This window comes from Homo sapiens, chromosome 5, assembly GCF_000001405.40.
Source record: "Homo sapiens chromosome 5, GRCh38.p14 Primary Assembly".
NCBI lineage: Eukaryota > Metazoa > Chordata > Mammalia > Primates > Hominidae > Homo > Homo sapiens.
The window spans coordinates 179339493-179351130 of NC_000005.10; the positions used below are offsets into that span (position 1 = coordinate 179339493).

At 57.6% G+C, this 11638-nt stretch overlaps 1 protein-coding gene and 1 long non-coding RNA gene across 3 annotated transcripts in view; both read right to left on the reverse strand.

Moving 5' to 3' along the window:
- Window positions 1-5969, reverse strand: part of ADAMTS2 (ADAM metallopeptidase with thrombospondin type 1 motif 2) — a 234609-nt gene extending 228640 nt beyond the window's left edge. For both annotated transcript variants that reach the window (NM_014244.5, NM_021599.4), the window contains exons 1-2: window positions 5698-5969; window positions 4275-4669 (exon numbers count right to left, since the gene is read on the reverse strand). In NM_014244.5, coding sequence (NP_055059.2) covers window positions 4275-4669; window positions 5698-5836 — 534 coding nt within the window. In that variant the 5' untranslated portion in view covers window positions 5837-5969. The remainder of the gene's footprint in view (window positions 1-4274; window positions 4670-5697) is intronic.
- On the reverse strand, window positions 6869-9763 carry LOC105377759 (uncharacterized). The gene is made up of 3 exons (XR_941311.3): window positions 9442-9763; window positions 7454-7606; window positions 6869-7287 (listed from the first exon to the last, which is right to left on the reverse strand). It is a non-coding gene; the product is annotated as an uncharacterized LOC105377759 (long non-coding RNA).

Below are 11638 nucleotides of genomic sequence, written 5' to 3' on the forward strand. Positions count from 1 at the left end.
TGTTTCATCCAATATGAGCAGGGGTTTCTGTCACTTAAACTGAGCAAGTCTTAAGGTGACAAGTATGGCGGAGGCTGAGACTGGCCTTAGCAGCTGTGTAGGCTGCTTGCAGCTGGGGCCCACAGGAGCCTCTGCTCCTACCTGGGGAGCCCCGACACCCTAGGGAACCCAGAGGTTCCTGCAGCCCCTCTTTAGTCTTCCTGACAACCTCTCATTGCGATCCAGGCAGTGCCAAGGTGGGGTGGGAGGAAGGAAGACCCTACCAGCGGCAGCTGCAAATCTCAGGTGCCCCTCACCCCACTGCACAGTCCCAGGACCCGCTCACACCTGCCTGATCTGCTCTAGCACCTGAGCCTGCTGGAGCCCAGTGTGTGGCCTCGAAGGCAGCAGCCTTGCTGGGAAAAATGAAACTCATCTCAATCCCTTAGGCCGGCTTCTGACTTCTCTCTGTGGCCTTTATGACTCTTAATGTCCAGCAAGACAGAGTGGGTGCCTGGCCCAGACAGCAGCCCCGCAGGGGAGCCCCAGCCTGAAAGGCAGCAGCCCTGGATTTCTTCTTGCCATGCAACCTTGGGTCTCTCTGAGCCTCAGCCACGCAGTGGGGCAGCCCTATCTCACAGGGTTGTGGGGTTCGCATCAAGCATCCAGGGAAGGGCATACACTTCCTCCTTTGGGCCCCAGGATTGGACCAGGCCTTGGAGGGCGGACCATCTCCACCGCCCAGCCCATGGAGGCTTCATCCACTGCTGCCCAGCCTGGCAGGAGAGGATCCCCGTGCTGCCCTGAGTGGGGAGGCAGAGGCGGGCAGGGTTGCTTCCATCCCACGGAAGTCCCAGCTGCAGTCCCCCACCAGTGAGGACTTAGGCCACCCATAGGAGCTGCAGCCCAGCGCAGGTCACGAGCCAGTCAAGGCCACTCAGCTCCCAGGCCTGCTCCCGGCTCCACTCACACTGACGATGGTCAAACCCACAATGAGAACGTCTCCAGGAGTCAAATAAGAAAGGTGGGAAATGTTGTAAAGAAATGCATTTTTAAAATTCTTTTTGTAGGCATGCAGGAAAAGGCAACAAAACATAGTGAGCATGGCCTTGGAATCAGATTTGTGTTCAAATACTGGCTTCGAAGCTTGAAGCAAGCTATCTCGACTTTTGGAGCCTCAGTTTATTCATCTGTAGAAGGGGGATGATGTCGGGATATGTTCCGTAGGGTGCTGTGAGGATTAAACAAGGCGAGGTGGCACAGGGGGCTCAGCTGAGAGCCTGGCACACAATGTTAATAGGAACACAGTCAACTGTCACTTACCATCATTACCTTTTACGCCAAAAGGCTTCTCACTGGGTTTTTAATGGGCATGTAAAAACCACGTGAAATTAGCACGCCTACCACGCTGCCCAGGAGATACTGGAAAACTCTTCCGCAGCAACGTGAGGCACAACACCACTCTGTGCAGCCTGTTTTGCTCATGCCTTGTGCAAAGGGACATTTTGCTGTGGATACTATGAATAACCCCTCGCTGTGGATATTATTATGAATAACTTCCGTCTAGTCACTCAACCTCCCAGAGCCTGAGTGCTCCACCTGTAACCAGGGATGAGATGCCTCCCCGACCAGGGCTCTGTGAGGACAAGAGGTGCCCTGTGTAAAGACCCAGGTCCTTAGCAAAGAAGCCTATCGTGGTGGCAGCAGAGGGGGATTTAACAGTAGGACAGACACATACGCAGCAACAAAGTCAGAAAAGGAAAGAAGAGGCCGGGCGCGGTGGCTGAGGCCTGTAATCCCAGCACTTTAGGAGGCCAAGATGGGCAGATCGCTTGAGGTCGGGAGTTTGAGACCAGCCTGATCAAAAGGAAAGAAAGAAAGAAAAAAAGGAAGGAAGGAAGGAAGGAAAGAGAAGAGAAGAGAAAGAGGACAAGCGAAAAGAAAAGAGGCTGGGCGCAGTGGCTCATGCCTGTAATCCCAGCACTTTAGGAGGCCGAGGCAGGCAGATCACAAGGTCAGGAGATTGAGACCACCCTGGCTAACACGGTGAAACACCGTCTCTACTAAAAATTAAAAAAAAAATAAAAAAAAATTAGCTGCACGTGGTGGCAGGCGCCTGTAGTCCCTGCTACTTGGGAGGCTGAGGCAGGAGAATGGCGTGAACCCGGAAGGCAGAGCGCTTGCAGTGAGCTGAGATCGCGCCACTGCACTCCAGCCTGGGTAATAGAGTGAGACTCCGTCTCAAAAAAAAAAAAAAAAAAGAAAACAGAACCAATGGTGCTGTCCCACTGTCCAAGGCCATTATTCAGTGACAGCATTCAATGCCGCTCAGGCAGGTCCCAGCTCCTCTTCCAACCCCAATATTCTTCCCAGCTCTGTCTGGTACATGGGACACTTCAGCAGGCCTGTCCTGCCCAGGCCAATCCACACCTGGTACCTCTGCACACGCTCCTCCCTCTGCCCGGGTTGCCAACCTGCGTCTTTTCCAGCTGGCCACTCATTCTTCCAGCCCCCATTCAAACAGCCCCCCAGGAGCACACTCTCCAAGTCCTGGCCAGAGTGTCCGTCAGCCACCCTGACGACAGGAGCCCTGGGTGGGTACCAGACCTGCCTCATTGCTGACCAGTACAGGGGATAAACATATGAGAAGGTGCTGGCTGAAAAATGAATCACCAAATGAACTGCTGAATGAATGAAACAGTGACAAGTCCTCCCCAAAATGCTCTCCATCAGGAATGCATAGTACACAGGTGTTGGCCCACCAACAGACTGCAACCCCATGTCAACTCCCACCACCTTACCTCACCCTAAGTCCGCAGCAAACATCTCCTTTCATTTAGGAAATTAACCTCCAGCGTAAAATGGGACACACCTCTGAGGCCCAGGATGTCCTCAGAGACAGTGGGCGATGTCAAGGGCTCACCATTTTAACCCAGCTCCTCCAGGGATATTTACAGTTGTTTGCAATATGGCCAAGTTCTAACTAAATCCAGCCAAAGGCAGTGATTTTCCAAAGCAACAAGTGATATTTTCTGTGTCTCCATAAAAAGAATGACAGTGGTTGCAGAGCCCTGGTGTAATTGCCGGCTCTGCAGACTGTAGGATGAGCCTCAGCTGCCCGAGTACGGGCGTGCTCAGGGGCCACGGGGGCTGGGAGAGTGGCCACTCACTCGGGGCAGGAGTTCCCTGAGTAGCAATTAGAGCGGAACCCATGGTGGGCGGCTTCAGATGTCTGGCCAGCACAGCCAGCCTGACCACCACACACCCAATCCAAAATAGAAAACTGCAGTGGCCTCTGCTGTGTGCCAGGCCCCGGGCAGCCGGACAGAGCACCGCCAATGTCAGCCTCCTCCCTCAGCATCGATCCAGGCTTCCTCTGAGGCCCCCTTGTGCTGAGCCACGGTCCCTCCTGCCCTCTCCAGGAAGCAGAGCTTCCCAGAGCTCCAGTCACAGGACTAGAGAGGCGCAGGCAGTCTCAAAAGGGATCCCCTAGCCTCTCTCTTGTCCTTCAGGCGCTGCCCCCAAAAGATCGAGCAGCTCATGGGCACTAGAGCCTTCATTTCCAAATGCACCCCTCAGCTCAAAATAGAGAAAACCAACTTTTCAAAGAACCAGCTGGAGTTCAACAGGAAACCACAGCAGAAAAACCAATGATTCCCGGTCAGCCAAGGGGCAGAGGGCTAACTGGGCATTTCAGCATCACTGCCAGCTCCCTGGGCTGGTATTACCCGCACGCAAGGAAACAGGAAGACTGACTGCCAGCCCATAAGTCCACCACACACATATCACGCCAGTATGCACAAGGACGGACACAAACTCAACAGATGCTCAACACACTGATGTGCAGAAACCCAGACACATACGTGCACAAGAGACACTGGCACACGCACATGTTCACACAGGTGCACGGGCACCCAGATGCAGGTACACACCAACGTTCCACAACACATGTGCACACACTCACAAAGGTACACACACATACACGGACCCACCCCCGGATGCAAGCCAGAGACCTGTTCAGGCAGGCAAAAGAGAGAGGCGCACGCTCCTGCCTGCTGAGCCTTTTGGAGACCCGGGCGCTCCCCATGCATAAATGGCCCCCTGCTCAGACCAGTCAAAACAACCTGCTTTCCAGCCAAGCCCTTCAGTTGGAGCACGAGGCTCACTAAAGCACGGGAAGGGCGCGGAAAGTCCTCAGCGCAGGCCTTGCCCTCCCAAGGGACTCCCAGGTAACCCTTTTCCAAAACCCAGGCGAGAGCAGCGGAGAGAAAGGAGCTAGAGAAGTGCGTACTCACCAGCCCATCGCAGTTGCTGAGCGCCACAGAGGAGGCTTCGGCTAGGCCGGCCACGTCTCCGACGTAGAGACAGCTCCCGAGCAGGGGCTCCACGCGGGTGGTGCCCTTCTCGCCCTGCCACTCCATAGTGGCCCCGGGCGCCACGAGGCGGGCGTTGGGCCGCAGCCGCAGGTGCAGGTCTCGGCCAAAGACCGTGACATTGTAGAAGAGGTGACTGCCAGGCTCCTCCTCGTTGCCTCCGGGGAAGCTCGGGGTCCGGACCGGGGCGGCCCTGCGGGCTCGTACCCCTGCTCTGGACGTAGCTGCCGACACCACGTGGGACACCAAGCGGCCCTGGGCGTCAGTGCGCACGGGCACCGCCAGGATGCGCTCCGCTCCGTGCCCCAGGGGCCCGCCTGCAACGGGAAGGGGCGTTAGATCGGCGGAGACCACGGAGCCCCAGTGCCTCAGAGACCCGCCGGCAAGCCACGCCCCCCCAGACCCCGCCCCACTGCGAAGGGAAGGGGCATTCCGCCAGGCGACCCCAGAAGCCAGCCTGCACCTCCCCGGCTTTCCTGCAACCGGGAAGGGGCGTTAACAGGGCCACCACTCCGGGGCTCCGCCACTCCCCAGCCGTTCCCTCCTCCGGAGACCTTGCCTGCCAAGAGCTCTGCCCCCTGCCCCGTTCAGGGTTGGGGCTCGGTGGGAACCTCCCCGTGCCCGAAGGGACGACCCCGTCAGAGAGTCCCCCGACCCTTGCACCTACCGTCCTTGGCAGGACGTGGAGCTGCTCGGAAGCCATTCCGGGTTGGCCCCCTTACCCGTGTGCCACGACCCCTCGGCGGGCCCCTGCCGCCCGAGTGCCCTCACCGCCAGCCTCCGGAGCGGCGGAGTCTCGGCTTCCCCGAGCACGAGCGGCCTGTCCTGCCTGTCCAGCTCCCGCTCAGCCCGCTGCCGGCCCCGTCTCCCCGAGCGCCCGAGGACTGGGAGGGGTGGAACAGGGTCCCTCCGATCTCCGGGGATTCCCTGCGGGGCGCCCCAACCAATCCTTAGGGCCCAAGGCTACGCGCTCGGCAGCCGGCTCCTCCGGAGCGTCCCCGGACGCGAGCCCCGGCGCCGCCTCGCCCTGGCTCCCCCCTCGGACCCGCTGGGGCTGACTCTGCGCTCTTGGCCGCGGGGCTTTTCCCGGCCCTCCGTCCCCACCCTCCGCGACTCAGGAGCCGCCAGTGCTCCGAGGCTCCCCCGGCCCAAGGCGCTCGGGGGCGGTGCGGGGCGCCCCCTGCGCGACCAACCCGGCCCCGAAGTTGGCCAACTTGGCCCCGGGCGGGGCGCGCGGAGTTTGCCCAAGTCAGGCTGGACGACGCCTGGGGAGGGGGCGGCGGGGCACGCGGGACAGGGCCAGGCCGGCGGGGGTCCCGGGGAGTAGGGGCCGGGCCGCACCTACCTGGGGGGTCGGCGGCGGCGGCGAGCCTGGCGTTCGCGGGCGGCGGCGGCGGCGGCAGGAGCGGCGGCGGCAGCAGCAGCAGCAGCAGCAGCAGCGCGGGGCAGAGCAGGCGGCGAGCGGCTCCCGCCGGCGGATCCATGGCAGCCGGACTGCAGCCGGGGCCCCGCACTCGCAGCCGGCGCGAAAGTTCCCCGCGAGCCGCCCAGCCCACATCTGGGGGCAGCTGGAGCCGCCCGCAGCTGCAGCACCGCAGGGCGCGGGGCGGAGGAGGCGAGGCGCGGAGGGGCGGGCGGGGGAGCGCGGAGGGAAGGCGGGGAGAGGGAAGGAGCGAGCGAGCGAGGGAGGCAGGCGGGAGGGAGGGAGGCGAGCGAGGGGGAGGGCGGGGACGGCGGGCGCCTCAGCCTGCGGTGACCCGGCGCATCTTGGCGCGGCCGCCGCCGCCGCCCGCTTCCCTCTTCGCGCCGCCGTCGCCGCGGTGCCGGGCTCGCAGCGAAGCAGAGACACCCCGAGGCGGCGGCAGAGAAGCGCCGCGGGCCGGGCCGGGGGAGCCCCGCCGCCAGCCACCCCAGGGGCACAACCTCCGAGGAGCGGCGCCGGCCGAACGTCCCCACCTAGAGAGCCCTTGGGGTGCCGGGTCCCACCCATCAGCCCTGGAATTCAAGGGGTGCATCCCCCTGTCTCTGTGCTCTGGGGCAGGACAGGGTGAGGGAATGAAAGGGGAGGGGGGACTGACTACTGGGTCCAAGGTCTGAGCCAGGCCGAATGCCCAAATAGAGGCCGCAAAGGCCAGAAGATGCTGTTAGGAGGGTACACCCAGGGCGCGACCCCAAAGATCAACTTTTGCCCTTACTGAGAGAGGCAAGGCTCCTTCAGTCCCCAGTTCCTCTTCCTCTGAAGTCCCTGTCCCCTGTCCCCCATCTGCCTTCCCATCCCTCCGCTGCAGCCTCAGCACAGCCTCTTCCTGCCAGACCTGGGCTCTCTGCCCATGAGCACAGTCAGGCTCCTGCCCTCACCTGTCCTCAACCCCACGTATGCATTCTGTCCTCCCGCCATTGCACTCCCGGCCCCCAACCTGAAATGGCCTCTCCAAGCTCTGCCTACCTTTTCCACCCAAGCATCCAAGGACACCTGGGCCCATTCTGGGGCCAGTTTGCTGTTAGAGCCCGTTGCCAACCGGAACCCCTCCCCAGTCCCTCCTCTCCAGCAAGGCCCTGATCCTCCCATGCTGTCTGAGCTCAGCGGCCTCTCTCCAGGGCCTGCCTGAGAGCCCCCTCTCAGGCTGTTGATCATCTCTGCCCTGGGACCCCCAATTTCTGCCTCACTTCCCCAGAGGGTGAACACCCACCCCTTTGATTTTCTCATTTGCCCTGCCCCAGGTCTGTGTGGCCAGGGCTTTGGTCTTTGCTTTGGCCAGGGGCAGAGGACCCGGAGATGACTCAGGCCTCTCCCTGCTGGCCAGGAGGTCCCAGTCGTTGGGGGAAACACGACTTACACAGCAGGCTCTAACTGTGATCTCACGTCCTTGGTTCTTTCGATTGTGGGTCCTGGGTGTGAGAGCATCGCAGCTGGACAGCCATCTTCACCTGCAAGCTGTACTCTTTCTGTGTCACCTAAGGGTGCCCGAGGCTGGATCCAGCTCCCAGGCATGGTGAGATGTCACATGGAAATTTAGATTGGTAACTTTTCTTGAGATATTGGAAGATGTGGCCACGCTAGCCCCACAGTCCTGCTTAGCAACCATTAAATGGGCACTTACCTTGCAGTTTGTGGCAGGTCCCGCCTCTCCTCACTCTCTGTAGGCATCTGCTCTCGTGACCTGTGATGACCCAACTGGTTCCAGAGAAAGTTGGAACTGGAATCCTAGTATACCACAGAGATGACTCCAGAGCTGGGCATCCAGGAGGACTTCCTGTAAGAGGTGGCATGAGTTGAATTGTGAAGGCTGGGGGAGCTAGGCAGCCCAGAGTTGGGTCCAGCCAGTTGCTGTCCTGGAACCCATGACGCATTCCTCCTGTGGTTGTCAGCGCTTCCATCCTCTTCGAAACACGAGTGAAACCCAACCAGCAGCCGCCCCTACTTCAAGGGGCATGTTCTGCACCTTCCTGCCGTGTCTATGGTTGGGTATTTCTTTACACAGCGCCTAAAACTTTTTTCAATTTTTTAAAGGATACTTTAAATCACTACTATAAATGGAAAAGCCAGCATCTCACCATGTTTCCATAAATCAAAGATAATTGCTAAAAATAAATACAACAAGAAGAGAAATGTTATCAAATTCCAGATACTTTGACCTGCTAAAGATACCGAAGGCTGAAGCTGATTAGTAAGTGTTACAAAAGCCTTAAGATGGACTAGCACAGAGGTCGTTGTTCTGATGTGATTGGAAGGATGAAAGGAGGCCTGAAAAGGAGTAACTCTGACTTTATGAGTTGATGGCATCTTCTAACAGGTTCACAGAGCTAAATTATTTTGTATACTTTGGGATACTTGCTTTGGGATATTTTTGGGGGAAAGAATTTGTCTCCTGGACACTGAATAACCCCAGGCAGCTGATTCTTCCCACATCACCCGTGCCCCTGCCACCAGGGATGAGTTGGGGATGGAGCAGCACCCTTGCCTGGCCCTTCCTTTAGTGCCCCCACTGTCACCCACCAGGGTGGTGGATGAACAAGGCTCACATGCACCTAACTTCACAGTTAAACCCTCAGGGAGGTGGAGGAGACTTGCAGACACATCCCAGCCCGTGATCATTTGTCCTCCACTCAGAAACAAACAGAAAAACAAAAAACAACCAAAGAACAACAACAAAAATCTTGCTACTTCTTCAAACCTCCATGATTCAAATCTTGCCTCTCCCCCCTTACTGGTGTTTGCCTCTTTCTCTGGTCCCCCTTTTCCTCTTCCAGGTAAAATACGGGACATAGAAGTCCCCAGTGGCTCTCTGCTCCTCTGCATGTTCAGTCTAGGTCCCAACGACAAAAACTAAGGGCCACTGGGCCAACGCCGCCGGATGTGTTGTTGAGCACATGCCACGTGCGTTCGTTTCTACTGGAGCCTGAATGTCTTCAGGTCTGGCTGTGCTCTCCAGCTTACCGCAGTCCTCACCACCCCCTGTTGCCCTACACCTGCCTATTGCTCGTGATTGTCAGCACCATGATCCCTGAAAACCTGGAGTTGTCACCCTCACCGAGAAGCCCAGTGTTTGTAGGGAGGAGTGAGGACAAGTCAGCGTCAGCTCGGGCCTTACACACCCAACCCCCTTAAAATCTTCCCAAAGTTGTGTGGTGCAGAAAGAGGTGAGGACCTTTCCGGGTCATCTTGGGTGCCACGAGTCACCCCACATCCCTGGCAGAAGAAACACTAAGGAGGAGGAATGTTTGTTGCCCACCACAGCTCTCAGTGGGTGGGTGCCCTGCCTTGCCCTGAGAGGAGGGTCGGGCTCCCTGGTCTGGCTCAGGCTTCCAGGTCACATTTGTCAGCACAGACTTCATTAAAGACAGGAGCCCATTTGAGAGCCACTGCTGTCTCCTAATGTCTGCACAGAAACCAGCCCCTGAGAAGGTCTCCTGCCCTTTGACAAAGTCACCTTTCTTGGCACAACCTGCCAAGCAGATGGAGGCAGTGAGGTTTCAGTGCCCTCCCTAATGACAAACAAGCTCTTAGGGGCTGTGGGAAAGGAGCTGGACTCTTTTAGTCTCACTGGTGCCTGTGTGCAGAGCGGGCCAAGCATGAGGGGCTAGTTACCTTGTCGAGGGGCCTTGAGGACAGCAGCTCTGTCCAACTTTGCTGTTGGCAAACAGCGGGTGCAGTGGTCCCATCAGATGCTCTGGCGGAGTTCTGGCCGGGAGTGGCCCTGGTGAGCCATATGTCAAGGGAATGCTGATTGAACAGAATGTGGAGGCTGGGTGGCCTCTAGGAAGTGTGGTTCTTGCTGTTTCTTGAGCGTGCCCCTCCCCGACGCCATGTACACACTTTAATAGGGAGCCGTGTCCAGCAAAAGAGGAAACGTGGGTGGTGTTTCAGTAGCAATTGTTTTTACTGCCATTGCAGCACGGAGGCATCCCCTCGCCACTGAGATCGATTCTGCCTGGAAGTGGAAGACAAAGTGCTTGAGGTTTGGAGGCTTGGGGATCAGGGCTCAGTTAACATTTCTACATGGAGATGCAAGATGGAGACTCAGACTCAGTCTAAGCATTAATGGCCCAGGGAAGGATGTAGCTTAATGCCTATCTGTGATTGTCCACTTACACATATGCTCAGCCTAGCAGAGAGAACAGAGAAAAATTTTAAAGGGGCTATCTGGGTGTGTCAGGCAGTGACGCCACTTGAGCTGGGGTCTAAATCTCTGGGTTCACCTGTGTCTGGCCCCTGTCTGGGGTCGGGGGCCATTTTGTCCAGCCCCCTCATCTGGGAAAGGCCTTTGGGTCCCTCAGGATGCTCCTGGCTGCAAGTAAGACAGCCAGCTTAAACCATGAGGAAATGCATCAGCTCACGCACCCGGAAGTCTACAGGTGTGGTGGCCACGGAGCTTAACCGCAGCACCAAGGGCCCTGCTGCCTGCCTAGCATCTTTGCCCCAACCAGGTAGAAGGATGGCCAAAGCACAGGTGCACTGCCCTCTCCCAGAAGGACCGCTGTCTCCCCTGTGGTCTGTGGGCCAAGGCTGGGTCATTTGCTGAACCAGTTGCTGACAGGCGGTGGGTGAAGGGATGACTGGGACAAACCTGGATTAACCATCGCGTCTACCCCAGTGCCCCCAGCATTGCCTTCTGTCTTTATTTCCAAATCAGAGTATTGCATAGTCCCAGGCATCCTCCTGCCTGGCAAAAGAAGTTTTTCCCATGTGACGCTATATTTGTGTCCCACTCCTATACTACACCATCTGTACAGCATGCAGAATTCCTTTCTTTTTATGTAAATCCTGTAGGTAACTAGTGAAGGGCCCAGTTCTATTACATTATGGAGATCTGTGTTCAAAGCCTTTTCTAAGCCTGTCTGGACGCTTCCTTACTTCCTAGATTTTGAGGAAAGCCATCGGTGACCCCAGCCCAGGCCTTGCTAGATCCCCAGGATCCCTGGCCTCTGGGGCTTCATTACCTTTAGGTCACCCTCTGTGGCAATGTCCTTCCATCCAGTCCAGCCTGACCCTTCCCAGTTCACGGGATCAAGGATGTGGGCCTTAAAGACACCGAAGCTTCTGGCTGGGACTTCAGGGCTACAGTGCCCATGATGAAGCCCTAAGACGAAGACCGTGGTGGGAGGAAAACTCTGGGTGCATGGCTGGGGGGCTCCGGCCATCTCTACAGCCTTGGGGACCCCACTTCCCACTTCTCCTCCAGAAGGGAGAAGGGTCCCTCCTCTCGCTGGTAGGAGCGACCTTCTTAGCTGCTCCTGCCAACAGTTCCAGGGGTCCTTCTTCCTCTGCAGAAACACCGAGACTGGACACAAATCCCAGGACACTGAAAGTGGGGGTCCTGGAGGAACTGGTACCTTTGCTCCCTGCAAAATGGTGTCCCCTTCCTCTGAGGGTTCCAAGAAAAAAAAAGAAAGAAACAAAGAAAAGATATGTTTGTATCCTTTTGGTAATTTTTTTAAAGTTTGTTGGGTTTTTGAAAATGAACTAAATCATCCCTGTGCCCAGTGTTTCTGCAGCTCTCTACAGGTCTGGCTCTGGGCCACCCCTCAGGAGGAGAAGCCTTTTCTCTTCATACTGACCCAAGGCCAGTCCTTAGGGCTGGTCCCTGAGCCCTCCGCTTCCTGGGCAATCTCATCCTTTCCCACAGGCTCGTGAGAGCCGGTGTGCTGATGACTGCCCACCCGCTGGGTTCATTCTACCGTAAATGCAGCTCCCTCAGCCACCTGCATCAAGATATCTCAGAGCCTTACCAACTCACCCACCCAGAACTGCCCCATCTCCAGCCTGGCCCCAGCCTCGGCCCAGT